Below are 27,852 nucleotides of genomic sequence, written 5' to 3' on the forward strand. Positions count from 1 at the left end.
CGAAAAAAATAAATAAATAAGAAAGATGATCTCAGGGTCCCTACCCTAGGAGTCAGATGCACGGTGGGGCCATTCCTAGCGCTGCCTGCCCTGGACAGCGCCTGTCTATGCCTGTGGCCCAGCATCATTATGAGGAGTGCTCCCTTGACTCTGGCTGTCCTGATTTGGACACTAGACTTCATGGTCACCCTGGCCACAGGTACCCTATCCTGCATCCTGAGCTCCGCTCTTCCTGGAGTCATGGGCTGGTCTTTCCTCCTGGTGGCCTTGCGCCCCAGCTCCAGCTTCCTGACTTTTCTCTTCTGGAAATGGGAATGCCAAGTCCTATTTCATGGAGTTTTGAGAATGAAATGACTGGTGTACGGTGCAAAGTGCCTGTGAGTGCCCAAGAAATCTCTTTTATTAACAAGACACGAATTCATTCCAATTGATTTGACGGGCCACTGTTGTCACAGCAGCCGCACTGCCCCAAAGGCAGCAGTGATGTTTGAGCGCCGACTCCCCGACGGCACTTGGTCCTCACAACCACCCCATGGAGTTCATGCTAAGATCCTCGCATTTCATTTGTGTGGCAGGGACTTGCTGAGGTCCGGGGAGGGGCAGAGAGGAGGGGTGCGGCCGCCCCGCGCTTTGCACTTTCCGCGTCCTCCAGCAGAGGGGTCGGCCGGCGGGCTCAGCGTCCCGCATAATAGCCGCTTTGAAGCCCGCGGAGCGGGTGGCGGGAGGGGAGGGGAGAGGCGGGAGGGGAGGGGAGAGGCGGGAGGGGAGGGGCGAGGCGGGAGGGAGGGAGGGAGGGGCCGGCAGCGGAGGGAGGGGTGTGTCGGCCGCCCGCGCCGTTCCTCCGCCCCTCGGTCCCGCGGCCACACGCAGCTAGCCGGAGCCCGGACCAGGCGCCTGTGCCTCCTCCTCGTCCCTCGCCGCGTCCGCGAAGCCTGGAGCCGGCGGGAGCCCCGCGCTCGCCATGTCGGGCGAGCTCAGCAACAGGTTCCAAGGTAGGCGCCGCCGTCCCCGAGCAGCCACCTGTGCGCGCCGGGCGGACCGCGGGGTCCACCGCGCGCGGGAAGCGGGCGGGGACGGGGGCGCGTGGCCCGAAGAGGACCCCGCTTCCCAGGCCGCCTCTTTGTCTCCTCCAGGAGGGAAGGCGTTCGGCTTGCTCAAAGCCCGGCAGGAGAGGAGGCTGGCCGAGATCAACCGGGTAAGCCCCGCGCCCAGGGCAGCACGCGAGTCCCGAGCCGCGCGCTGCGCGGGTGCCACCTCTCCTTCCGCGAGGCCGTGCCCGCCTCCAGATCTACCCTCTTCCTTCCCTTCCCCTGGGCTTCCCTCAGGTGCCTCCCTCCGCCCCCAGCCCCGTCGCCTCCGACTCCAGGTAGGTCCGCCTCCGCCTCCCGCCTCCGGTCTCGGGTTGCAAGTTGTTACTCTTGCAACTGGGGACTGGGGAGGTGGGGCCGGGTCAGGAGCTCGGATGCCAGCCGGCTCGTGGCTCCCCGCAAGCCCGCTTGGGAGCAGCCCAAGGATTTGGCGCGGGAAGGGCCCTAGGCCAGTGATCTCTCCAGCTCAGAACACAGGCTCCGGGTCATTTGCTGGTCTGTCGCCCAGGCTGGAGTTCGGTGGCCCAATCTCAGCTCATTGCAGCCTCCACCTTTGGGATTCAAACGGTCCTCCCTCCTCATCCTCCCGAGTAGCTGGGACTACAGGCATGTGCCCCCACGCCTGGCCTTAGCTATTGTTGTTATAAGGGATTCAAAAGTACAAATAGAAGACTCTGATGGGCGTAGAGATCCTGGCACTTCCCCGTGGTCTCCAGCCTCCCGCCTCCCTCAAACACACCACTCCTCTTCACTCCAACTTTCAGGAAAGATTGCCTTAAGGGATTCAATGCTTTTCTTGCTGGTCCTGGTGGATTTCTCAAAAGAAATCTTTCCTGTTGTTGCCAGGCATCCAGTGAGAGCTCCATAAATTTACATAGATTCTAGAAGATAAGGAAAGATATCAGGACCTGTCTGGGTTGGCCAAAGCTCAAAGGCAGCACAGCCAGTGGCTTTAAAGTTCTGCAAGACCTGGGCTCAGATCTGGCCTCCACTGTGTGCCAGCTCTGTGGTCCTCAGCAAAGGGCCTCTCATCTCCAAGCAGGGCATTGTGCAGGCTCAGAGAGGGAAGGCCCGTGGCCTGCATGGCCCAGCACCCAGCATTCAGGAAGCACTCACAGAACTAGCATTATTTCCTGAGGTGGATGTCTCCCAGTTTCCTTCTTAACTGGTGGCAGAGGCACGCCCGCTGAAACAAGGCTTGGCATTCCCCCTGCAGGCTCCTCTGGTCCCCTGGACACCCAGGGTCTAAGCCCAGCTGACAGTCTGGAAGTGGGCCGCTGGTGAGGTCAGCAGAGCCCGAGAAGGCTGTGGGAGGCGGGTCCGAGCCTGGGGCCAGGTTGTGGTATTGCCTCTTGCCAGCAGTGTGCAGCCTTGATTCCCCCTTGGTTTTCTTGGACTGCTTGGATGTAGGCAGCCTGTCTGTTTTCCATCCGCTGGCTACAGGACTCCCATTCGGTCCCCAGCTACAGGGCTCTGGGGACCTCAGGGTTCCCCCTCCAGGTAAGCTCCGGCCTCCTCACCGCCACCCTCACCCTGCTTCCTGGGGGCATCTTGAGCACAACTGGAAGGTTGCCCGGACATCTGGCTGGGGTGCTCAGGGGTCTCGGATCCCTGCTGGGCTCCTTCCCAGATCACTGTGTGCCTGCCCAGCCTGGGGCTTGGCTGCTCTAGCCCTCTGGACAGAAGGCTGGAACCCCGACCTCATATAGCCCCCTGGGTCACTTGGCCAGGCGGGTTCTGAGCTGGCTGGAGCCACCCACAGCCAGCGGGACCCTGAGCCACAGACAGCTGGAGATGGGGGTGAGGTGACCATGGTTGGACAAGCCAGAAGAGCTAAGAGGGCGGGGCCAACCTAGCCCTTGGGGAGGTGGGTTGGGGGAGGGGGCGGCTCCAGGGTTGTTTTGGGAAACCGACTAGCTTGGCTTAGAAAGAGGAGGGACTTTAACAGCTGTCAGGGGCTGATCTGGGCAGCACTGGGACTAGGGAAAGTGAGCAGGAAGGAGCTGTGGTCTAACCACCTCAGGACAGCGCCCAGAGAGGGCAAGCAGCTGACCCAAGGCCACGCAGAAGCCAGTGACAGAGCTTGCAGCCCAGCGTCCTTCCCCTGCCAAGACGCTGTACTGAGACCCACCATGACAGCCCAGCCGCTGTAGGGCTGCTGAGGCCCAGGATCTGGGGCCCTGTAGGAAGGAGGCGCCAGGATCACACGGGAAGCTTGAGCTGCTTCACCACAGTGGAGCAGGGTGGCCCCACCAGTTTAGTCATGAGGTACCCACAAGCACTGATCTGTGACTCTGGGCAAGCCACTCACCTCTCTGAGCCTCCTTCTCCAAAAAGATAATGGTTGTGATTTTTTCAGTGAGACAATCTATGTAAAGCACCCAGGAGAGCTGGCTGCGGCCCTGATAGCTATCAGGACAGTTTCTTTGTTCGTGGCCTCAAGGTGCAGGGAGTGGAAGATACTCCGCCCTGGCTCATGCTGGTTGCTCAGCCCAGCAGAACCTCGTCTTCCCCAGCCTGAAATGGGAGCAGGGATCTCTGCCCCTCTGGAGTCCCTGCAACAATTAACCGATGGAAGTGGATGGAAGCTCTTTGCAGACTGTGGGGGAGTCACTCTGTGTGAGAGTCTGAATTGGTTCACCCACGGCCATGGGGGCAGTGCAGAGGGCCTGAGCTAGGTGGATTGTAGGCAGAATTGTGCTGGCAGCCCGGACTGCCTTCCTTTGGGGTGCAGCTTCACTGCCCCACTGGAGTGTGGATTCTGGGGGCCTGGGCTAAGCCCAGGATTCACTGCCAAAGCCCTGCTTCTGTGCCAGGCAGCTTGGGCACCGCCATGGCTGCTGCCTGGGGCACAGCCCAGCTTGGCTGGCAGATCTAGGGGCTTCTCTGGGCCGATACCTAGTTCCCTTTGGGGCCTTTCTCCTCCCTTGGTGTAGGCCAGCTTCCAGAGGGGCAGGGTAGCTCAGCCTTAGCTTTTTTTTTTTTTTTTTTTTAGACAGAGTCTCTGTCACCCAGGCTGGAGTGCAGTGGCGTGATCTCAGTTCACTGCAACCTCCGCCTCTCGGGTTCAAGCGATTCTCCTGCCTCAGCCTCCCGAGTAACTGGGACTACAGGCGCTTGCCACCACGCCCAGCTAATCTTTGTGTTTTTAGTAGAGACAGGGTTTCACCGTGTTGGTCAGGCTGGTCTCGAACTCCTGACCTCAGGTGATCTGCCCGCCTCAGCCTTCCAAAGTGCTAGGATTACAGGCGTGAGCCACCCCACCCCGCCCAAATTTAGCTTTTTGTTGTTGCTGTTGTTAACAGAGACAGGGTCTCACTCTGTTGCCCAGGCTGGGGTGCAGTGGCCCAATCTCAGCTCATTGCAGCCTCTACCTCCCCAGCTCAAGCAATCTTCCATCTCATCCTCTCAAGTAGCTGGGACTACAGGCATGTGCCCCCATACCCTGCCTTAGCTATTGTTATTATAAGGGATTCAAGAGTAAAAATAGGAGACTCTAATGGGCCTAGAAATCCCAGTAGAGGAAGGGAGGTGGGGGAGCCGCATGAAAATGCACCTCTTTTTGGTTTCACTTTAGTTTTTGCTGTAGTTTTCTGAACACTTGGTATGTGCCCGTCCTGTGCCAGGTGCACTGTGGGCATTATCTTGCGAATGCTCTCTCTAACCCAGGGAGTATTGTTGCTCCCATTTTTGAGAAAACGAGACTCAGAGAGGCTGGGTAAACTGCCTGGGTTTAAACAGCCTCGACTTGAACCCAGCCTATTTTCTCAATCGCTCAGCTTGGCTGGGCCTCCTGCTGCGTGTCCACCCCCAGCTCCATTTGCTGTGTGTTTGTATGTGCACGCACGTGTGTACATAGCAGCACTACTGGAGTGGGCAGAACTGGCCAGCACCTCCTACTCCCCCTACATAGCTGGCATTCCCCGAGCCCTGATGGCATGGTTGGTGACCCCAGGCCAGCCAGGCATGGCCTTATATGGCAATGGGAGAGATTTTCTCCAGCTTCCCACAGGGACAGAGAGAAGCAGGAGTGGGGCTGGGGGCGCTGCCCCTCAGGGTGGCTGTGCCCTGGGACTTAGCAGGAGGCGCTCAGGGGACAGTGAGGGCTGCCACATGAGCTGGCTAGCAAGTGAGGTCTTTTTTCTTTCTTTCTTTTTTTGAGACGGCGTCTCGCTCTGTCACCCAGGGTGGAGTGCAGTGGCGTGATCTCGGCTCACTGCAACCTCCACCCCCTAAGTTTACGCGATTCTTCTGCCTCAGCCTCCCAAGTAGCTGGAACTATAGGCGCGCACCACCACGCCCGGCTAATTTTTGTATTTTTAGTAGAGACGGGGTTTCACCATATTGGTCAGGCTGGTCTCAAACCCCTGACCTCGTGATCCGCCCCCCTCGGCCTCCCAAAGTGCTGGGATTACAGGTGTGAACCACCACACCCGGCCAACAGGTGAGATCTTCAACACAGTAACGAGCTGTGGCTGTGCTCCATGCCCACAGATTGACATTCATCATCTCGCTGACCCCGCAACAGGGCACCCCAGCAGACAGATGCACAGTGAGAATCTGCAGACAGCCCCATGGGATAAGGATTATCATGACTCCTTTTTTTTTGAGACAGGGTCTCACTGGGTTGCCCAGGCTGAAGTGCAGTGGTGTGATCTCGGCTCACTGCAGTCTTGACCTCCTGGGCTTAGGTGATCCTTGCACTTCAGCCTCCTGAGTAGCTGGGACTATAGGCGTGCACCACCACGCCAAGCTAATTTTTTTTTTTTGTGGAGACAAGGTTTCACCATGTTGCCCAGGCTGGTCTCGAACTCCTAAGCTTAAGCAATCTGCCCACCTTGGCCTCCCAGAGTGCTGAGATTACAGGCATACATCACTGTGCCGGGCCTTGACTTCCATTTTAGAGATGAGGAAACAGGCTTAGCTAGATGAAGTCACCTGCAAGGTCACCCAGCCAGGAAGTGGCAGATCTGGGATTCAAACCCAGTCACCCTGGCCCCTGTCACCAGGTGGCTGCAGCCTAGCTATGACACAGGCCTCTCTTGCTTATATCGATAAGGATCTCTGGCTACTGTCCCAATGGTCCAGCCCTCCTGGGTCGAATGAAGGGCACTCAGCATTCCCTGTCACATTTAGGTACCTGATGGTTTTTTGTTTTGTTTCGCTGTTTTTCATTTTGAGACAGAGTCTCACTCTGTCACCCAGGCTGGAGTGCAGTGGCATGATCTCGGCTCACTGCAACCTCTGCCACCCAAGTTCAAGCGATTCCCCTGCCACAGCCTCCCGAGTAGCTGGGATTACAAGTGCCCACCACCACGGCTAATTTTTGTATTTTTAGTAGAGACAGGGTTTCACCATGTTGGCCAGGCTGGTCTCGAACTCCTGACCTCAAGTGATCCACCCGCCTTGGCCTCCCAAAGTGCTGGGATTGCAGGTATGAGCCACTGCACCTGGCCCCTGATGTTTTTTTCAGAAGCCACATGTCATCTGCACTGGGAAGGCAGCTGGGCAGGGTAGGCTGGGTATCTCTGCCCAGGGGTGTATATATCCCCTGCCCTTCCCCCAGCAATGGGGGGCCTCTGAGACCTGACCCAGGCAAGTATGCAGGTGTGTCTTTTTTCCTATGTACCTGGCAGTGCCACTCTGTCCCTGCCCAGGCGAATGTATGCAGCTGGCATTGCTGGGCACCCACCTCTCTTGCTCTTCCTTAATATATTATAAGGGAGATGGTGATAAGTGGCCACGTGAGCCTCTGAGGATTCAGTGTCCCCTGCAGGTCCAACCAGTTATGACCTTGGTGTGGCCGTGTCACAGGAAGCTGGAGATGGAATTTCTGCAGGGTGTGCTTTATTGCATAGCTGCTTGGGAGTTTTTCTTTAGCTGCCCCATCTGTTGGCGAGGATGCGGCATCTGAATGAGGCCCAGGGCTGCAGTGGGGAATGTGAACCCGCTGTCCTTGTGGGTGCACATTACAGGCTTCTGCTACTCACCAGGTGCCAGCACCACTTGTGGCCTGGCCCTGGCCCTTTAAGAGCCTGTGGGCTGCGTCAGAGGTCCTACGCCCCGGCATGGTGCTTCCTGTCCTTGGAGTTCTTGTCCAAGGCCTGAGCCACCAGCCCCTTGGATGGCCTCCAAGATGGTGATATCCGCCCACCCCAAAATTCTGCTGCAGCTGATACAGAAAGACAAGCCTGGAGGGCCAGGAGCAAGGGTTCGCCAGAAGGTGCTAGAGGTACCAGCCCAGAAAGAGAGTTAAGTCAGCGAGGAGCAGGCAGGTGGGAGGGCTTCTGAGGACAGGCACGGCAGGGGCTGCCAGCTTCTGATGGGTTTGGAAACAGCCCCTCCTGGGCATAGCACTTGGGGGCCTCGCTGGAGGCTGGGATGGGCTTGGGGGACTCTGGCGAGCATCAGAGGCTGTAGGTGACCAGGAAAGGCGGCAGTGAACAGATGCTATTGGGGACTGAGATGGGAGGGTTCAGGCAGGTTGGATGGCCCATCACTGCCAGGTCAGCCGGGGGCTGAGGACAAAGCAAAACTTGCCCTTGAGGGATGGCCAGTGGGCCAAGACTTGCCAGGAGGACTTCAGGGCATCACGGAGGAGCACAGCATGGTCGGTGGGTGATGTTCTTTCCCTGCCCTTCCCCCGCACACACACCTGCCTCTCGATGTGGCTTGAGTTTGGATGATCCTAAGACATAATAATAATTTTGAACACTTAGCAAGTGTACTAGGAGCCAGGCTCCTTCTGTGCAATTAGCTCGTTTAATCCTTACCGCAGGCCAGGCACTAAGGCAGGAGGATAGCTTGAGTCTGTGAGGTTGAGGCTGCAGTGATCCTGCAGATCGTGCCACTGCACTTTAGGCTTGGGAATGGAGCAAGACCCTGACTCAAAACAAAACAAACAAACAAAAAAATTCCTTACAGCAACTCAGTGAGGAGGTTCTGCATATCATTATGATCCCATTTGATAGATAAGCCCACTTTATAGATGAAGAGACTGAGGCCTAGAGTGGTAAACAGGTAAAGTTGCCCTGCCCAGAGCCACAGAGCTAGTATGTGCTAAAGCTGGAATGGCAACCCTGGCAAGTTATCCCCTATGTCCTACACACCCTGGGCTCAGAGAGATGATGTGACGTTTTCAACTGTTGTGAACTTGGGCAAGGCCTGTCCCTTCCGGCACCTCGGTTTCCCCAGCTATTGAACAAGGAGGGCAAGCTGAACGCTGTGAGGAGTCCCTTCTGGTTCTGTGGCTGGGTGGATAATTTAACAGCTCTGCCACCTCCCAGGCCCCAGCCTTGGATGCTCTGGTCCCCGGGGACTGAAAAGTGGGCTCAGCTGCCTGTGTGTCACCCCCCAGCTCCTGCCCGCTTGCATTTCCTGGCCCTTTGCTAGGGACTGATCAGGCCACTGTGGCCTCCAGGCCTGCCCCTCTGCATGTCAATAGCCACTTTCAGGGCCCAGAGGCCCCCTGCACTTCTCACACCTGCTCCCCCACCCCAGCACTTTCTACTTTCTGCAGCCGGGAAAACTTGTCTTTGGGGACAGTGGGTTAGATTGTGTGAGGAGGATAGGGGATAGAATAAACCACCTACCCCCACATCTCCCTGGAGGGCTATAAAGTGGTTCCCTGGCCTCTGGAATAACCTCCTGCAGCTGCCGAAGAGGAAAGGTAACTCCCAGTATTGACTTTCTTTGCCCAGAAACCTGCAGCCAGGCTACCTTCTTGTTTGGGGCAGGCATAGACCTTGAATTGCTAAAACTTGGCAATCCTGAGCAAGTTGAGCAACCTCTCTGGGCCTCAGTTGTCCCATCTGTCAAATGGGGATACCTGGAAAGAGGAGAGAGAAATCATAACTGGCCTACTCCACGGGGAGGGGGCCTCCTTCCTAATCTGCTGAATAGTCTGTGAGGGTCTATGGAGGTTATAAGCTGATTGTATGGGCATAAGTATTAGAAAAAAATAATAAACAGCTAACATTTATTTAGTATTTGCTGGCCGGGTGCGGTGGCTCATACTTGTAATCCCAGCACTTTGGGATGCTGAGATGGGCGGACTGCTTGGGCCCAGGAGGTTGAGGTTGCAGTGGGCTATGATTGTGCCACTGCACTCCAGCCTGGGCAACAGAGCGAGACTCTGTCTCAAAAAAAAAAAAAAAATTCATGCAGCCATGAAGTGGATTCAAACTCAGGCATTCTGGCTCCAGTCTGCCTTTTTTTTTTCTTTATTTTGCTTTTCTTCCAAACACCTGGGGTGGCTTCTATCTCTGTCTCCTCTGCCTATGGACCCAGGGTCAGGGCAGCCAGGGGTCCTGGAAAGACAGGGTACCTGTGCCTTTGGCAGGGACGGGGGGAGGATGCCTGCAGGGAGGGAGCTGTGGGTGGTACATGAGCAGGAACCAAGAATCCAAAGCTCAGAGGTGGAGCAGGCGTGGCAGCCTGGCTGGTGGAGTCCTGTTCCTGCCACTGCCCGCCGGGCTCCCCCATCCCCTACCCAGGCATGGTCAGCACAGCTGCCCTAATCCCAGAGCCAGTGAGGGCTGCCCACACATGAGGAGCTCAGCTGCCTCTCCCACCCTGGTCACTTGTGGCCCAAGCATTTGTCATGTTTTGTTTTGTTTTGTTTTTTAAGACAAAGTCTCACTGTGTGGCCCAGGCTGGAGTGCAGTGGCGCGATCTCAGCTCACTGCAACCTGCACATTCCGGGTTCAGACAATTCTCCTGCCTCAGCCTCCCAAGTATAGCTGGGATTACAGGTACGTGTGGTTTTTAGTAGAGACAGGATTTCACCATGTTGGCCAGGCTGGTCTTGAACTCCTGACCTCAGGTGATCCGCCTGCCTTGGCCTCTCAAAGTGCTGGGATTACAGGCGTGAACCACCACACTGGGCTGCATTTGTCATTTTTGGCTCTAAGGAAAAATAGGATTCCAAACCCTAAGCCCCTCCAGCCTCTGTCATGCGTGGGCACACACTTTTGCAAAGCTGCCTGATCGTTGCAGGGGTGAGGATGGAGAAAATAATGGACCGAATGGCAGGCCTGTCCATTCATTCAATGGATGTTTTGTTGTTGTTGTTGTTGCTTTTTTTTTTTTTTTAGAGACAGGGTCTGGCTGGAGTGCAGTGGTGCAGTCAAAGCTCATTGCAGCCTTCACCTCCTGGATTCAAGTGATCCTCCAGCCTCAGCCTCCCAAGTAGCTGGGACTACAGGCACGCACCACCACACCCAGCTAATTTTTTAATTTTTTGTAGAGATGGGATCTCCCTATGTTGCTCAGGCTGACTTCAAACTTCTGGCCTCAAGTGATCCTCCCTCCTCGGGCTCCTCAACAGATGTTTATTGAGTGTCTACGATATGCTGGGCACTTCGACGCTAAACCTGTGGCTGGGGCCCTGCCTCCTCCGAGCTGCCTCCTGATACCCACTTCCTCCTCAGTACTGTGCAGGGAGGGAGCCGCAGCTACAGAGGATTTCATGTTCCCAGCACAGCTGCTTGCTGGCTCTGCTGTTTCAGGCAAGTTAGTTAACCTGAGTCTCAACTCCTCCACTCATCCTGCACATGTTTATTGAGCGTCTGCTATGTGGAACCTACATTCTAGCCGGGGAGGCAGAGAGGGTGTAGTAACCTCAGTAAGCAGTGGCAGTGGAAATCATGTTTGGAGGTGACCCATCCTAAGGAGCTGGATAAGGGCGATTGGAAGTCGGGGCAGCTGAAGTGGGCAGGCAGCAGTATAAAACAGGGTGGACAGGGCTGGGCATGGTGGCTCACACCTATAATCCTAGCACTTTGGGAGGCCGAGGCAGGCAGATCACTTGAGCCCAGGAGTTTAAGACCAGCCTGGGCAACAGAGGGAGACCCCATCTCTACAAAAAATACAAACATTAGCTGGGTGTGGTGGCATACACCCGTAGTTCTAGCTGCTCTGGAGGGCTGAGGTGGGAGGATTGTTTGAGCCCAGGCAGGTCGAGGCTGCAGTGAGCTGTGATCGTGCCAACAAAGAATAAATAGGGTCGGCCGCATTGAGAAGGTGACATTCGGCCGCATTGAGAAGGTGACATTGAGGCTGGGTGTGGTGGCTCACGCCTGTGATGCCAGGAATTTGGGAGGCCGAGGCAGTCGGATCACCTGAGGTCAGGAATTTGAGACCGAACTGCTCCATATGGTGAAACCGCATCTCTACTAAAACAAAAATTAGCTGGACGTGTTGGTGCGCACCTGTAGTCCCAGCTACTGGGGAGGCTGAGGCAGGAGAATTGCTTGAACTCGGGAGGGGGAAGTTGCAGTGAGCTGAGATCGCGCCACTGCACTCCAGCCTGGCGACAGAGTGAGACTCCGTCCCAAAAAACAAAAATAAAACAAAACAAAAAAGACAAGGTGACATTGAGCAAAGGCTTGAAGTTGGTGAGGGAGAGAACCACGCAGATCTGTGGACTCCAGGCAGGGTGCACAGCTAGTGCAGGGTGCAGCCCAGGGCAATCTTCCCAACCACTGCTGCCGTTCATGCTGTGCACGTGGCCTTGCTCTTCATCCCTGCCTGGTTGGTCTGTGTCTGTCTGTGTGCAATTTGTCTCTAAGGCCAGGGACCATGTCCTTCCACTTGCACCCATCCACCTACAGAGTGGCCCAAGTAAAACTGGATCTCTAGGGCTGGTCGGTCCAGGCTGAGGCAGGATTTCTGGTCAACCAGACCCCAGGGGCTGGGACAGCCCCTCCAAATCTCTCCCCAGAGGTTCCCAGATGTTGGTGCTCTTGTGCCTCCCCAGGAAGGTTCTCTAGTTCTTGGTAAAGTGAAGGAAATGCAGGGTCACTGTGGTGAGTTGGACCTAGGCTGAATGGATTCCATTTAAACATTCAGAGATGGTGAACTTCCTACTTTTATGAAATGTTCTTTTCTGAACTCATGGCAACAGTCAATGGCCATTGTTTAAAAAGTCTTTACTTGGCAAAATAAAAAGTTGGCACTCGTATATTAGTGCGCCCCTCTGCCCCGCCTTTAAAAATGTTTCATGTCTGCGTGACCCCAAAGTCTGGGAATCACTGATCTAATATGTCCCTTCACTGGGCAGATATGGGATCTGGGACCCTGGGAGGTGCCTGGTTTGCTCACAGTCACAGACAAAAGTTAATTGTCCTCCTTTTGGGCAGAGGATGGGGTGAGGGAGCAGTGCCGAAGAGCTATGAGAGGGAGCCAAGAGGAAAGGAAGTCCTCGACAGAGCCAACTAGGAGGAGGGCGGCCTCCCAGGCTGCCGAAGAAGGATCCAGCGTCAGCTAAGTGGAGGCGGGGCCGTGCCCAGTGCATTGCAATGAGGCCTGGAGTGAGGCTGTGGCCAAGCCAGCAAGACCCCATAGGCCCTGGGACTGCCCTCTGCCCAGGTGCAGGAGGACACAGGTCCTGGAGTCAGATAGACCCAGGTTCGAAACCAACCTTCCTTAGCTGTCTGTGAACCTTTTTTTTTTTTTTTTTTTTTTTGAGATGGAGTCTGTGGCCCGGGCTGGAATGCAGTGGCACAATCTCGGCTCCCGGCAACCTCCACTTCCCAGGTGCAAGTGATTCTCCTGCCTCAGCCTCCCAAGTAGCTGGGATTACAGGCACACGCCCCCATGCCCGGCTAATTTTTGGACTTTTAGTAGAGACAGGGTTTCACCATGTTGGCCAGGCTGTTCTTGAGCTCCTGACCTCAAGGGATTTGCTCACCTCGGCCTCCCAAAGTGCTGGGATTACAGACGTGAGCCACTCACTGCGTTTGGCCTGTCTATGGACTTTAGATGTGGTATTTAACCCCTCTCATCCTCATGTTTTAACTTGTAAAATGGGAATAATAGTGGCTGTGAGGATTTAGTGAGATAGCACAGTGTCTGCTACAGCCAATGTTTTACCAAAAGCTACAGGACAGCCAGACCCCTCTCCCAACCCAGTGAGGGAAGCCCTGTTGCCAGGTAGGTTTCTCCTGTGGTCAAGGGGTGCTGAGTTAATGTGGAGAAATTTGAGCCATAGAAGAGGCCATATTCTGCCTCATACTCATAATCTTATCTGTTGCTCATTGAGAGCTGAACTATGAGCCCAGTGCCCAAGGAGTGGGTACTATTGAACCTATTTTAGAGCTAGTAAAAAGGGAGACTGAGATCCAAACCCAGATTGCTTTATAGTCAGTTAGTTCTTGTCATCCTCTATTCTGCTTGAAGCCTCTTAGGAGTTTGCAACAATAGACTAGGAAGGTAGTGAGTTCTCTGTCCTAAGAGATATGTAAGAACAGACTTGGCCATCATGTATTAGGAAGTAGGTCAAGTGATTAATGTGGGTGACATTGCACATCATTTTAAACACCAGCTTTCTGTAATTTCAGGATAAGGACCTTGTCATATTCACCATGGTCTCCTCTGCTCCCTTGATGCTAGCACAGTGAGTGCTGTGTGCACTGTGTCCCCCCAGAATGTTGAATGAGTGAATGAATGAATGAATGAATGAATGAAGGAGCAATGTCCATGTCCAGTGAGCTCAGTAATGAAGAATGGAAGGTCCACTGGCCGGGCTCAGTGGCTCACACCTGTAATCCCAGCACTTTGGGAGGTCGAGGTGGGCGGATCACATGAGGCCAGGAGTTCAAGACCAGCCTGGCCAACATGGTAAAATCCCGTCTCTACTAAAAATACAAAAATTAGCCGAGCATGGTGGCACACTCCTGTAGTCCCAGCTACTTGGGAGGCTGAGGCACAAGAATCATTTGAACCTGAGAGGCAGAGGTTGCAGTGAGCCAACATTGCGCCACTGGACTCCAGCCTGGGTGACAAGAGCGAGACTCCGTCTCAAAAAAACAAAAACAAAAACAAAAAAAGAATGGAAGCTCCAAAGAAGAGGGGTTATTTGCAGAGTTCGAGTGGTAGGAGGGGAACAGGCCCTGTGCTTCCCCATCTGAATACAGGTTCCAGGGCTGCTGAAAGATTAGCCGCAAGATACATAAGTTACCTGGCACTGTATCTGGCAGGTGTTCCCTCATTGGTCGCTTTTTGCTGTAAGGTCAGAGACCAGGCCAGATGAACACCTGCAATCTGCCCACCTTTAAAGAATGTAGGGGCTAAGGATGCAGGCTCCAAATGAGATGGAGCCGAGTTGAAGCTCTGGCTTATGAGCCTCAGTTTCCTCACCTGCAAAATGGGTATAATAATAGTAGCTACTGGCCGGGCGCCGTGGCTCACACCTGTAATCCCAGCACTTTGGGAGGCCGAGGCGGGCAGATCACTTGAGTCCAGGAGTTTGGGACCAGCCTGGGCAACAGAGTGAAACCCTGTCTCTACAAAAAATACAAAAATAAGCCAGCCGTGGTGTGGCGCCCATCTGTAGTCCCAGCTACTCAGGAGGCTGAGGTGGGAGGATCACTTGAGATCGGGAGGCGGAGGTTACAGTGAGCTGAGATTGCATCACTGCATTCCAGCCTGGATGACAGAGCAAGACCCTGTTTCAAAATAATAATAACAATAGCTCCCTCTTGGGACTCCTAGGAGATGTGAAGAGATCACATAGGTAAGGGCTTCACCCTGGAGGCCATTGTTAGTGTCCAATCCTCCCCACCCTGCCCATCTGGTCCTGAAAGGACTCATTTGAGTCTCTCCAAGCATCTGAAGGGAAGGCAGGCCAGAGATTAAAACCCCCATTTTACAGGTGAGGAAACAGGTGAGAGGGTAAGTGTACAGTCATTTTCCCGTTAGAGCAGAGACGACGAATTCACACTCTCACTGGATTTCTTTTTTCTTTTCTTTTTTTTTTTTTTTTAAGATGGAGTCTCTCTCTGTCTCCCAGGCTGGAGTACAGTGGCATGATCTCAGCTCACTGCAACCTCCACCTCCCAGGTTTAAGCTATTCTCCTGCCTCAGCCTCCCAAGTAGCTGGGATCACAGGTGCCCACCTCTATGCCCAACTAATTTTTGTATTTTTATAGAGACGGGGTTTCACTATGTTGGCCAGGCTGGTCTCGAGCCCCTGACCTCAGGTGATCGGCCCACCTTGGCCTCCCAAAATGCTGGGATTACAGGCGTGAACCGCCGCACCTGGCCTCACTGGATTTCTATACAAACTCAAGAAGCAGATCATGATTCTCATTTGGTAGATAAGGCAATAGAAGTGTGGGGAGGGCCGGGCGCGGTGGCTCACACCTGTAATCCCAGCACTTTGGGAGTCTGAGGCGGAGGGGTGGGAGCGGGGGGATCAACTGAGGTCAGGAGTTCGAGACCAGCCTGGCCAACATGGTGAAACCCCGTCTCTACTAAAAATACAAAAATTAGCTGGGCATGGTGGCAGGCGCCTGTAATCCCAGCTACTGGGGAGGCTGAGGCAGGAGAATCGCTTGAACCCAGGAGGTGGAGGTTGCAGTGAGCTGAGATCGCGCCATTGCACACCAGCCTGGGGGACAAGAGCAAGACTTCTTAAAAAAAAAAAAAAAAAAGTGCACGGAGGAATGAATGAGCTCAGGATCACATTCCTAAGAAGTTAATGATGGAACCAGGGGCTTGTCTTTGGAGCTCACAGCTTCTCGGATCTGAAGCTGGGGTGTCTTGGGGGAGGGGCACGGGTCCCAGCATTGGTAATGTAGCTGCTGGCTGGAGGGCTTAGTCACCCGTAGTGAACCCTCTGGGGCCTCCCCAAGCTGCTGGGCAAACTTCCTACCCACAGGGTGGCCAGTGCAGATCTGCCTCCAAGGGGCGACAGGAAGCCGGGGTGAACAAGGGACAAACTGGGTCTGGTCGCACCTGGTTACCCGATAGGAGGGAAGGCCCCCGGACAGTGGGCCCATGTGTGGGTGACTTCTGTCCCCAGTCCCTTGCTCAGCACTGTCCTCTCACCTCTGTAGGAGTTTCTGTGTGACCAGAAGTACAGTGATGAAGAGAACCTTCCAGAAAAGCTCACAGCCTTCAAAGGTAAGCTGGGGCGGGCTGCCCTGCATTTATTCCTGGGGGAGGTGGGCTGGCCCCTCATCCTTGCACACAGGACCCCTCAGCCCCACAGGACTAGGCTGTGGCCCTGTTTTGTCCAGAATGCCCTTCTTCCTGGAGAAGGCTTGGAGACAGGGACCCCCTGAGAGGTGGGGAGAGGCCCCTCCACCTGCCTCCCTGCCCCTGCGGGCCCCGTCACCCCTCGCCTGCAGCCCGGTCCTGGCCCTGCCCCTCTCTCTCCCCTCACTGCCCACGGGGCTCAGGCTGGTTCCCGTCCGCCGCTGCCCAGGCCCCGTCACTCCCGGGCCCCGCACACAATCAGCTCTTTGTGAGCAAGCCTTGCCTCTCCCCCTCCCCAGCAGAGCGTCTCAGGAGCCCCTGCGGAGAATGGACGTTTGTGTCACCGCAGTGGGGCAGGGGGGCAGAGTTTCTGCCCATTGAAACCCGGCAGCACGGGATGAAAAGAAAGCAGGGCCTGGGAGCCGGCGCGGGGAGAGGGGCAGCATAAAGGTCCCTCTGTTTGGGGCCCTGGCGCTTGGTTCCCAGCCAGCACCTCGAAAGGAGAGGAGCCGGGCACATAGGGGGCAGCGCAGACCCACCTTCCCTGCCAGGGGAGGCACTTAGGCGCAGGAGCCCTGGGCTGTCATGGAAAATATCCTGGAGGTTGCATTCCCCTCCAAAGTGTTTGCAGTGTGAGCATCCTCCCGGCTCCAGGGCAAAGAACTTGGCCAAGTGTTCCTCAAATCACTTCCAGTTGTCCTTAGGCTGGACATCTAGGGCTAATCATATTAATAACAGCTGGCATTTGTTGGACGTCGGCCTGTGTGAAGCACTTCTCGTGCGGCGTGGCGAGCTCCCCACATCACCCCAATCGGCCTGGAGGAAGATGGCGCACTTGTTAATGTGCAGATGGAGAAACTCGGGCTTGGAGGGCGGGGTTGTTGGCATGGGGACACATAGCTCGCCTAGGGCAGAGTTGGGACTTGAACTCATGTCGGTCTGGCTCCAAAGCCCCTGCTCTCAACTGTTACGCTATGATGCTTTTTACATGAAGAAGAGAGAAGGGAAATAGTAAAAGACACTCCTGACCCCACCCCATCCCAGCCACCTGTAGGAGAGCTGTGAAAAAGAGAGCAGTCTATTCCCTTCTGTCTGCATACCAGCGTGGCCACTCCCAGGGGTGGCTCTGGGAGGAGGCACGGGTCTCAGGGCTCTGGCACCCTTTCTACTTGTCTTCACTGGAATGTTGGGCCAGACAGGAAGTTACATCATTCACTCATTTGTTCTCCAAATGCGCACCTGTACATGTGCCAGGACCATTCCAGGCCAGGGGCACCATGGTGAACGTAAAAGGCAGCTCCCACCCGGGAGCCTGTGTTCTCGCTCGGGGGGCGGTGTGAGAGGTGGTGGGAGACTAAACAGAGAGCCGGGAAATACAAGGTTAGCAGACTGTGGTAGGTGCTTCAGTGAGAAATGAGGGAGGGAGGACAGGAGTGCTCAGCTGTGGGGAGGGGGTGCAATTTTGAAAGGGTGGGGAGGCCAGGCACGGTGGCTCACACCTGTAATCCCAGCACTTTGGGAGGCCGAGGTGGGTGGATCACCTGAGGTCGGGAGTCCAAGACCAGCCCGGCCAACATGGCGAAACCCCATCTCTATTAAAAATACAAAAATTAGCTGTATGTGGTGGTGGGTGCCTGTAATGCCAGCTACTCGGGAGGCTGAGACAGGAGGATTGCTTGAACCCAGGAGGCAGAGGTTGCAGTGAGCTGAGATCAAGCCACTGCACTCAAGCCTTGGTGACAGAATGAGACTCCATCTCAAAAAAAAAAAAAAAAAAAAAAAGCATAATGGTTAAGAACGGGGGCTTTGGAGCCAGACTAACATGGGTTCAAGTCCCAACTCTGCCCTAGGTGAGCTGTGTATCCCCCCTGAGATCACGCCACTACACTTCAGCTTGTGTGACAAAGTGAGATGGAGCAAGACTCCTTCTAAAAAAAAGAAGAAAAAGAAAGGGTGGGGAGCCCTGAAGCCATGAGGAAGGGTGCTGAGAATACTTGGGAGAACATTCCAGGCAGAGGGGCAGCGAGCTGGAGCAGGCAGGGAGTGGGCGGGGGCAGCACAGCCTGCAGGAGGGCCTCGGCTTTCTCTGCTGGCTGCTTGTGGGGCAGGATGGACCATGAGGGCCCCACTCTGCCCGGGCAGGGGGTGACCTGCAGAGGCCCCACGGTCCGTTTGACACACTGCTCCCATCTGAACATACCAAGCCCACTGCTCCGACATCCTCCCTCACTGCTAGAAGTTTTCCTGGACTCCTTGATCAGGGAAGTATAACTCAGTCTGTGTGTGAGGTTTGGGGTGATGGTCTGTGTACCCCGGGAAACTGTATGTCCACTTTGTGGGCTAGGGCAGGCCTTTTTCCTGGTTTCAGAATCACAGGTCCCCTGAATCAGTGGTTCCCACACCCGGTTGCCCATCAGAACTGCCTGGGACGCTAAAAAGCACACCCATGCCTGCCCCCACCCTGTCCTTCCACACCCATGAGCCAGAATCCTGGGGCAGGGAATCAGAGCTAGTCACTTTGCTACTAACTCAGATGCAGCTGGTCTGTGCTGCTGGGGACCCGGGAGAAAGCAGCTGCCCTCCTGGTAAGAGGGTCAGAGTGGCCCCCAGCCATCTTTCCCTCGTGGCACCTCTAGGAGAGTAGTCCAGGCAGGATGAGCTCTTTCCCCAGAGGCCATGGCTCAGCGGATGGGGGACTCAGGTCAAGACCCTTGGTAGGGTGCGGGAGGTGGTTCAGACTCCTGAGGACACGGTCATTTGCCCACAAGGGAGCCACTGGGTCCCCACAGGGAGACGCTGCTTCCAAACTAATGCTAGTTTTTGCTCTGTGATTTCCAGAGAAGTACATGGAGTTTGACCTGAACAATGAAGGCGAGATTGGTGAGTGAAGCCTTGAGTGTGTTTAGGGAGGAGGGTGTTAAGTGGGTAGAGGGCTTGAGGGACCCTCTGTGCGGGTGAGGGGCATGGGGCAGTCCGGAAGGCTGGTGAATATGTTGCGCCGAGCCAGCCCCAGCCCCTTGCCTTCTGCCCTGGCACCACTGCCCTCAGACTCCTCCAGACCCTTTGATCCCCTACTGCTTCCCTCCCCACCCACACCTCAGCCTCCCACCCCAGGTGCTACGGGGACTCAGGACAGAGGGTGCCACACCTGCCCAGGGCTGGAGACACTCAGGGTGGACAGGCCCTGGGCCTCCTGGCTGGCATTTCAGTGGCCCTGAAGTCTGTCTTTCCATTGTATGTCATTCGGCAGTTGACAAGTTGCTTTTATATACGTTGATTCTCTCCTTATTGCATCCTGCTGTGCAGCTACTGGCACTTACGTTCTGGTAGGAGACCATACCTGGACCTCACCCGCAAAGAAGTGGTTAAGGCTGGTTTAATTATCCCCATTTTACAGATGAGGAAAGCAAGACTCAGAAAGGTGAAATGGGCCGGGCGCCATGGCTCAAGCCTGTAATCCCAGCACTTTGGGAGGCCAAGGCGTGGGGATCACCTGAGGTCAGGAGTTCAAGACCAGCCTGGCCAACATGACGAAATCCCATCTCTACTAAAAATACAAAAATTAGCTGGGTGTGGTGGCGGGTGCCTGTAATCCCAGCTACTCGGGAGGCTGAGGCAGGAGAACTGCTTGAACCCAGGAGGCGGAGGTTGCAGTGAGCCAAGATTGTGCCACTGCACTCCAGCCTGGGTGACAGAGCGAGATTCTGTCTCAAAAAAAAAAAAAAAAAAAAAAAAAGCAAAAAGAAAGGTGAAATGACTTGCTTACATGGAACACTGGCAGTGAACCAGGGCCCAGCCGTTGGTTTCTGAACAGTTTCCCCCTTTTCCATTTCATCCTGCGTCTCAGATTGATGCTGCTACCGGCATTTCTACTCCTCTTCCTCTGTCCTCTCTCTTTTCTTCTCCCTTTAGAATATTTTGATCATTTTTTTTTTTCTTTAGAAAGAAAATTTGGCCAGGCACAGTGTCTCACGCCTGTAATCCCAGCACTTTGGGAGGCCAAGGCGGGCGGATCACATGAGATCAGGAGTTCGAGACCAGCCTGGGCAACATGGTGAAACCCCATCTTTACTAAAAATGCAAAAATTAGCCGGGCATGGTGGCAGATGCCTGTAATCCCAGCTACTCGGGAGGCTGAGGCAGGAGAATTGCTTTAACCCAGGAGGTGGAGGTTGCAGTGAGCCCAGATTGCACCATTGCACTCCAGCCTAGGGGACAAGAGCAAGACTTCGTCTCAAAAAAAAAAAAAAAAAATTTGGCTTATCAAATAAACACATTTTCATCATTAAAAAAATTGGGGAAACACAGCAAGACAAAAAGACAAAAATGCATCACCCACAACCCCACCTCCCAGAAGTAACTGCTACAAACATTTCCGTTTCTAGCCTTCCACTCTTTATTCTAATCACAAAAGCTGTTTTATATCATTTTTGAGCCTCCTTGAAAAAAATAACTTTCTATTGGTCAGCCCGGCCAGAAAAAATAAGTGAAATAAAACAATGGTGAGTATTTTGATTTATTATTGATTTTTCTTTCTTTTTTTGAGACATAGTCTCATTCTGTTGCCCAGGCTGGAGTGCAGTGGCACAATCTTGGCTCACTGCATCCTCAGCCTCCCAGGTTCAAGCGGTTCTCCTGCCTCAGCCTCCCAAGTAGCTGAGATTACAGGCACGCACCACCACGCCCGGCTAATTTTCGTATTTTTAGTAGAGACGAGGTTTCACCATGTTGGCCAGGCTGGACTCAAACTCCTGGCCTCAAGTGATCCGCCTGCCTCGTCGTCCCAAAGTGCTGGGATTACAGGCATGAGCCATGGCGCCAGCTGATTTTTCTTTTGAAATATAGTTAATGGCTGCATTGTAGGAATGGATTCTAATTTGTTTAGCCGATGCCTTTGTGTGGACCATTTGGATGCCTTCCAATTTTAACTATTATTGATAATCCTGTAAAGAACCTCTTTGTACATGAGTGCTTGTTCACCTCCCTGGTTATTTCTGTAGAGGAAATCTCAGGAAGGGGACACTGGGTCAAAGGCTTTTGAAGCATCTTGCCGAACTGCCCGAGAAAGGTCCTGCCAACTTCAGAGTCTGGCAGTGCGTGTGCAGCCCTTTCCCCCTTTCCTGGAGAAGGCTGCCCAGCTCTCTCTGAATGCGTGGACATCCTGGCACCTTTGGGCCTGGCCCCAGTCCCGCCCGCCTTGCCAGGAGGAGCATTGGCTGCGCCACGGCCCATGGCCCCTACCCCAGCCCTCTCCTGCCATCCTTAGATGACCCATTGTTCACTGGAGAACAATCCAAAGGAAATTGCCTCAGATCTTGGTGGGAGCTGGGCGGTCAGAGACAGCACCGCCTCGGGCTGGAGTGACATTCTGGGGCCTCCCTTGTTTTTCTTGAATTTTGTTCTTTTGTTGGTTTTCCTGCTCTGTGGGATATTTTTGGCATCCTCTCCCTTCCAGCCGGGGCAGAGCCCTAGGACAGCAGGACAGGAGTGGCACGTGGGGAGAAGCCACCTGCCACTCGGCACCCAGCAGAGTTACTTTCAATGCCTGACTTCCTGACCCTGCCACACTGGGCATAACTCCCCAGGCAGCAGGAGAGTGGGCACCCAGCCCACCCTAACTGCAGGAAATAGCAGAGCCCACAGTCATGGTGTGAAGAAAGTGCTCTGGGCCGGTGCTTCCTGCACAGAGATCCCTGAATGATCCCATCCACCCGTTCCACCGTTGGTGGGAGCAGGGGTTCAGAGAGGTTAAGTAGTGTGCCCCAGATCCCAGAGCCAGGAATAGCAGAGCTCGATTCCAATGCAAGCCCGTCTGACTCTAGAAGCCCAGGTCACTAACCACTAGCCTATACGGCCTCCAAAGAGAGCAGGGAGGGCGTGATGGGCTCCTCCTCCCTAGAGAAGGAGTGCAGACGCCAAGTTTCTAGGCGTGGGGTGCCTGAGTGGAGCTTTCCCAGCTTCCCTGCTAAGCCCCAGCAGCCCATCTCCACTTAACAGATCTGCTTTTCCCCCGGCAGACCTGATGTCTTTAAAGAGGATGATGGAGAAGCTTGGTGTCCCCAAGACCCACCTGGAGATGAAGAAGATGATCTCAGAGGTGACAGGAGGGGTCAGTGACACTATATCCTACCGAGACTTTGTGAACATGATGCTGGGGAAACGGTCGGCTGTCCTCAAGTTGTGAGTACCTCCTTCCTCCCTTGGGATCTCTGAAGGCAAAATCATTCTGTGCAGAGAGGCCCCTGGCTCTGGGCACCCCAGCCATTCCCCACCTAGTAGGTAACTCATTGTGCGACCTGCTGGACAAGGTACTTACTTCTCCTGATCCTGATTTCCTTATCTGTCAATTGTTTGTTTGTTTTTTTTTCTTTTGAGATGGAGTCTTACTCTATTGCCCAGGCTGGAGTGCAGTGGTGTGATCTTGGCTCACTGCAACCTCCGCCTCCTGGGTTCAAGTGATTCTTCTGCCTCAGCCTCCCTAGTAGCTGAGATTACAGGCATGCACCACTATGCTTGGCTAATTTTTGTATTTTTAGAAGAGACGGGGTTTTGCCATGTTGGCCAGGCTAGTCTCAAACTCCTGACCTCAGGTAATCTGCCCTCCTCAGCCTCCCAAAATGTTAGGATTATAGGCGTGAGCCACCACACCCGGCCCAAATGGTCATATTAATATGTACCCTGTAGGGGAAATTAGCTTGTAGCAGAGTCAGGCAGAATCAGTACTCAGTAAGTGGCAACTGTGATGATGATGATGGTGGTGATGGTGATAATGGTGATAAATCTGTTGAAACTTTCCGAGCCTTAGTTTTCCTTTTTTTTTTTTTTCTTTTTGAGATCTCGCTCTGTCACCCAGGCTGGAGTGCAGTGACATGATCTCAGCTCACTGCAACCTCCGCCTCCTGAGCTCAAGTGATTCTCCTGCCTCAGCCTCCCGAGTAGCCAGGATTACAGGTGTGCGCCACCACACCCAACTAATTTTTGTATTTTTAGTAGAAATGGGGTTTCGCCATGTTGGCCAGGTTGGTCTCAAACTCCTGACTTCCAAGAGATCAGACCCCCTCGGCCTCCCAAAGTGCTAGGATTACAGGCGTGAGCCACCATGCCTGGCAGTTTCCCCATTTGTAAAGCACCTCCACTACCCCCACAGGCTTGTAAGCATAAAATAGAGTCAAAAATTGGCCCCAAAGGGAGGCAGGGTTTGCATCTTGATGCTATTACTTGCTACCAAAATGACCCTGGGCAAGTTACCTTAGGTCTGCGAGTCTCAGTTTCTTCATCTATAAAATAGGGGTGATAATCATGTCTTCCGTGATGTCCTGAGGGCTAGTGAAATGACACTTATGAAGATTTCAGCCTTGTGTGGCTGATGGCAAACACCTACTACGTGGTAGCACATTGTGGGTGCTGCCCCATTGAAGAGCGTTACAGCATTGCCCCAGGGCAGTCTCATTGTCATTTGTCACAGCTGAAAATAACACTCTGCCAGGTGCCCTGGCTCACGCCTTTAATCCCAGCGCTTCGGGAGGCTGAGGCCGGTGGATCACCTGAGGTCAGGAGTTCGAGACTAGCCTGGTCAACATGGTGAAACCCCGTTTCTACTAAAAATACAAAAATTAGCTGGGTGTTGTGGCTCACGCCTGTAATCCTGGCTACTCGGGAGGCTGAGGCAGGAGAATCACTTGAGCCCAGGAGGCGGAGGTTGCAGTGAGCAGAGATCGTGACATTGCCCTCCAGCCTGGGCGGCAAGAACAAAACTCTGTCTCAAAAGAAAAAAAAAAAAAAAAAGAAAACAGAAAATAACACTTACTTGGCTTTTATGAAATAAGATTCACTTTTTTAAAGTACGAATGTAAAATATACCTGTCTCATTTTACAAAGGAGCTTGTTGAGGCCCAAGGAGACTGAGTACCTGGCCCATGAGCCCACGGTCCAATCTGGCCAGATCTTCTAGCACCCCACTTCCAGGGAGAAACGCCAAGGATCAGAGAGGTCAAGTGTCTTGCTTGAGCCACCCGGCTGGGAAGTAGCAGGGCTGGCATTTGAATCTAGGCAGTTGCCCTAGAGGTTATACGCTGAGCCCCTACCCTCTACTCCCCAGACACCACTCTCAGAGCAGTGGGCAGGTTTTTGAAGATCTTTGCGCAGAGGCGTGGCCCAGCCTGGCTCAGCCTCCTCCAGGCAGTGTGGTTAAGGGAAGGGTATGGCCTGGAAGTCAGAAGCCTGGAGTCGTACCCAGCCTCTGCCCTGGACCGCCTGTGTGGTTCTGAGGAGTCATATCACCACTTTGCGCCTCCATTTTCTCCTCTGTAAAATGGGACTAGCAGCCCCTTCCTTGGAGCTGCTGTCTTGGGCTTCTGCAAGGATCCCACTGGAGAACAGATTTAAATTCTGTTGAGGACCCTGCTGACATGAGGCTGGGATGATCTTTCCCTGGATGAGGGAAGGATCCTAATCTTGTTTTTCTTTCTTTTTTTCTTTTCTCCATCTCCAAACCAGAGTCATGATGTTTGAAGGAAAAGCCAACGAGAGCAGCCCCAAGCCAGTTGGCCCCCCTCCAGAGAGAGACATTGCTAGCCTGCCCTGAGGACCCCGCCTGGACTCCCCAGCCTTCCCACCCCATACCTCCCTCCCGATCTTGCTGCCCTTCTTGACACACTGTGATCTCTCTCTCTCTCATTTGTTTGGTCATTGAGGGTTTGTTTGTGTTTTCATCAATGTCTTTGTAAAGCACAAATTATCTGCCTTAAAGGGGCTCTGGGTCGGGGAATCCTGAGCCTTGGGTCCCCTCCCTCTCTTCTTCCCTCCTTCCCCGCTCCCTGTGCAGAAGGGCTGACATCAAACCAAAAACTAGAGGGGGCAGGGCCAGGGCAGGGAGGCTTCCAGCCTGTGTTCCCCTCACTTGGAGGAACCAGCACTCTCCATCCTTTCAGAAAGTCTCCAAGCCAAGTTCAGGCTCACTGACCTGGCTCTGACGAGGACCCCAGGCCACTCTGAGAAGACCTTGGAGTAGGGACAAGGCTGCAGGGCCTCTTTCGGGTTTCCTTGGACAGTGCCATGGCTCCAGTGCTCTGGTGTCACCCAGGACACAGCCACTCGGGGCCCCGCTGCCCCAGCTGATCCCCACTCATTCCACACCTCTTCTCATCCTCAGTGATGTGAAGGTGGGAAGGAAAGGAGCTTGGCATTGGGAGCCCTTCAAGAAGGTACCAGAAGGAACCCTCCAGTCCTGCTCTCTGGCCACACCTGTGCAGGCAGCTGAGAGGCAGCGTGCAGCCCTACTGTCCCTTACTGGGGCAGCAGAGGGCTTCGGAGGCAGAAGTGAGGCCTGGGGTTTTGGGGGAAAGGTCAGCTCAGTGCTGTTCCACCTTTTAGGGAGGTTACTGAGGGGACCAGGATGGGAGAATGAGGAGTAAAATGCTCACGGCAAAGTCAGCAGCACTGGTAAGCCAAGACTGAGAAATACAAGGTTGCTTGTCTGACCCCAATCTGCTTGAAACCTGACTCTGCTTCTCTCATTTGTCTTCCTACCCTACTCACATAATTCACTCATTGACTCACTCATTCACCAGATATTTATTGACCTGCTATTATAAGCTTTACATCCTCCCATGTTGTCCTGGCATGTGCAGTATACACGGTCTAACTCATCTCTCCCCAGATCTCTCAGAACCTTGAGCTTGGGAATTGAACTGGGGTCACCTGTGTCCTTTCTTATGGACTCGCAGGATTTTAGAACCCTAATGCACCCTGGAGGGTAGCTGGGCCAGACTTCTCATTTCACAGGTGAGGAGACTGGTGCCCCACAGGGATTAAGTGCCTTGCCCAAGGTCAGGCTTATCTCCAGAGGGAGGTGCCCTGGACTGGGGCCCAGATGTTCAGGGACCCTGCCTACACCTCATTTCCAGTGTGGGCTGCCTTAGTTAGTTATGAGAACAGGGAAGGGCTGGGAAGAGACAGCCTCCAAGGTCAACACTTGGAGAGGGTTTCACTTGCTCTGAAGACCCTGGTCCAGGATTCGCCCTCTCCCATGCCTTCAAGTCAGCATCAGGCTTAGGGCAAAGACCAGGCCTCTGAAGCTGCCTCTTGTAATTCATGCAGGAAGATGTCAAAGTCAGCCCCATCTTGGCTGATCAGGGTGTTCAGCCTTAACCCCACCTGTGTTCTGAAGTCTCTTACCCTACCTGCTCAGGACTGAGACAGTTATTCACTGAACATATTTATTAAGCACTTGCTGTAGGCCAACAGTTAAGAATCCAATAATGAAATGGACAGATTCATGGAACTTAGAGTCCAATAGGAAAGTGAGACCCAGACAATGACAATGAGATAAATGTTAGGAAGGGGGAGGTATGGGGTGACTTCCCTGCAGTCCTGGGGGCCTAGATGGGCCCAAGACTGGGTGAGAGTCTTGGCAGAGCCTTTGCAACACCTTAAGTGGACAGGACTGGGAGGTCTTGGTGGTTGGAGCCAACGTGGGTTCCCTGCGGCTCCTTAGTCACCTCTGATAGCAGATTGAGGGAGGAAAACAGGTAAGGCATGAGGAAATGGCCAGGTTGGGTTAACCCACTGGTTTCAACCAGTTCAGGAATGAGGTTATTTGGCCATGACTGGCTGATCTTGAGCTCAAGGATCTGCTTCAAATGCACACAGGCCTAGTTGAAGTTTAAACCCCAGCAAAACATTCCTCCCTGTAAATGGAAAATCCTACTTCTACCCCCACCCTGCCCTGTTTTTTGTTTTTTTTTTCCCCAAGATCATTAGATGTCCTCACCCCTCCTCACTGCCTCTCCTCTCTGGGACAGGCTGGGACCTTTGAGGAAGATAAAGCCTTCCTTCACTACCCATCATATTCAGTGTCCCTGTTCCTCACTCAGAGAGGAAGGCAGAACCAGTCAGGCTTATTTCAGTAAGTTCCACAGTTCTACAAGACTGCAGGAATTCTCCTTAAGGGAGGAGAGCAAGCAGGTGTGGCCCCAGCTTCTGGAAATGGCAGAAGAGAGGGTTTTCTCATTGAATGGGGGTGGGGGCTCGTGTGTCCTGGGAAACCCCATCAGTCCCTTCATTTCTTGAGACTCAACTCCTGGGAGGAGAGGGTCTCAAGAGTTGTCCCTGGAAGGAGGGCGGGGGCAGTCTGCATCTATTTCAGGTTGTGGCTCTTGGTTCTAGGACTCTTACTTCTCTGGCTAAGGGCTCAGCTTCTTGGGACTTCAACCATCTTCTTTCTGAAAGACCAAATCTAATGTAACCAGTAACGTGAGGACTGCCAAGTATGGCTTTGTCCCTATGACTCAGAGGAGGGTTTGTCGGGCAAATTCAGGTGGATGAAGTATGTGTGTGCGTGTGCATGGGAGTGTGCGTGGACTGGGATATCATCTCTACAGCCTGCAAATAAACCAGACAAACTTACCAACGTCTTGATTGGTGTATTTTGGGGCTGGTTCTGGGCTCAGCAAATTGCGAACTAGCTAATATAGTAAGAGATTAAATGAGCATGTCCTGTGCCTTTTGTCTGAGACAGCTGAAATTCACTTATCCTAACCACCTCCCTGCAAGAGACAGGTTCTATTATGTCATCCTTGTTTCACAACTGAAAAGTAGGCTTGAATAAGCAATGTGCTGCAAGCCAAACAGTAAATGGCACAATCCGACCCCCCTGGAGCCAACCCATGAGGTCCAAGTTAAGAACCTCTGTCGGCCGGGCGCGGTGGCTCACGCCTGTAATCCCAGCACTTTGGGAGGCTGAGGTGGGCGGATCACGAGGTCAGGAGATGGAGACCATCCT

At 53.9% G+C, this 27,852-nt stretch overlaps 1 protein-coding gene across 5 annotated transcripts, besides 5 other annotated features; it reads left to right on the top strand.

Moving 5' to 3' along the window:
• Positions 1 to 862: 862 nt before the first annotated feature.
• AIF1L (allograft inflammatory factor 1 like) lies at positions 863 to 27,476 on the top strand. 5 transcript variants are annotated; one of them, NM_001185095.2, is made up of 7 exons: positions 863 to 992; positions 1,134 to 1,195; positions 10,520 to 10,597; positions 15,929 to 15,995; positions 18,909 to 18,950; positions 22,088 to 22,250; positions 24,567 to 27,476. In NM_001185095.2, exons 1-7 carry the CDS (start codon positions 962 to 964, stop codon positions 24,652 to 24,654), a joined length of 531 nt encoding a protein of 176 aa, NP_001172024.1. In that variant the 5' UTR covers positions 863 to 961; the 3' UTR covers positions 24,655 to 27,476. The 5 variants fall into 5 exon arrangements, 4 of the variants coding, with proteins under 4 accessions (NP_001172024.1, NP_113614.1, NP_001172025.1 ...); NR_033701.2 differs by lacking the exon at positions 10,520 to 10,597 and having other exon boundaries at positions 1,112 to 1,195; NM_031426.4 differs by lacking the exon at positions 10,520 to 10,597.
• Positions 1,200 to 1,699: an enhancer, noted in NCBI's record as "H3K27ac hESC enhancer chr9:133972255-133972754 (GRCh37/hg19 assembly coordinates)". NCBI's record gives its function as "activates a minimal SCP1, AML or CMV promoter by ChIP-STARR-seq in naive H9 embryonic stem cells {active_cell/tissue: H9 hESC(naive)}" and the evidence as "EXISTENCE:reporter gene assay evidence [ECO:0000049][PMID:30033119]".
• Positions 5,868 to 6,418: an enhancer, noted in NCBI's record as "H3K27ac hESC enhancer chr9:133976923-133977473 (GRCh37/hg19 assembly coordinates)". NCBI's record gives its function as "activates a minimal SCP1, AML or CMV promoter by ChIP-STARR-seq in naive H9 embryonic stem cells {active_cell/tissue: H9 hESC(naive)}" and the evidence as "EXISTENCE:reporter gene assay evidence [ECO:0000049][PMID:30033119]".
• Positions 6,684 to 7,603: an enhancer, noted in NCBI's record as "H3K27ac-H3K4me1 hESC enhancer chr9:133977739-133978658 (GRCh37/hg19 assembly coordinates)". NCBI's record gives its function as "activates a minimal SCP1, AML or CMV promoter by ChIP-STARR-seq in primed H9 embryonic stem cells {active_cell/tissue: H9 hESC(primed)}" and the evidence as "EXISTENCE:reporter gene assay evidence [ECO:0000049][PMID:30033119]".
• Positions 12,506 to 13,005: an enhancer, noted in NCBI's record as "H3K27ac hESC enhancer chr9:133983561-133984060 (GRCh37/hg19 assembly coordinates)". NCBI's record gives its function as "activates a minimal SCP1, AML or CMV promoter by ChIP-STARR-seq in naive H9 embryonic stem cells {active_cell/tissue: H9 hESC(naive)}" and the evidence as "EXISTENCE:reporter gene assay evidence [ECO:0000049][PMID:30033119]".
• Positions 14,212 to 14,891: an enhancer, noted in NCBI's record as "NANOG-H3K27ac-H3K4me1 hESC enhancer chr9:133985267-133985946 (GRCh37/hg19 assembly coordinates)". NCBI's record gives its function as "activates a minimal SCP1, AML or CMV promoter by ChIP-STARR-seq in primed H9 embryonic stem cells {active_cell/tissue: H9 hESC(primed)}" and the evidence as "EXISTENCE:reporter gene assay evidence [ECO:0000049][PMID:30033119]".

Source organism: Homo sapiens, chromosome 9 (assembly GCF_000001405.40).
Source record: "Homo sapiens chromosome 9, GRCh38.p14 Primary Assembly".
In the NCBI taxonomy this organism is placed as follows: Eukaryota; Metazoa; Chordata; class Mammalia; order Primates; family Hominidae; genus Homo; species Homo sapiens.

Bases quoted from the DNA above. Each gene is read 5' to 3' on its own strand.
- AIF1L (NM_001185095.2), top strand. From the start codon at position 962: ATGTCGGGCGAGCTCAGCAACAGGTTCCAAG. The intron at 18,951-22,087 runs GTGAGTGAAGCC...TTCCCCCGGCAG, and splicing joins GAACAATGAAGGCGAGATTG to ACCTGATGTCTTTAAAGAGG. The intron at 22,251-24,566 runs GTGAGTACCTCC...TCTCCAAACCAG, and splicing joins CGGTCGGCTGTCCTCAAGTT to AGTCATGATGTTTGAAGGAA.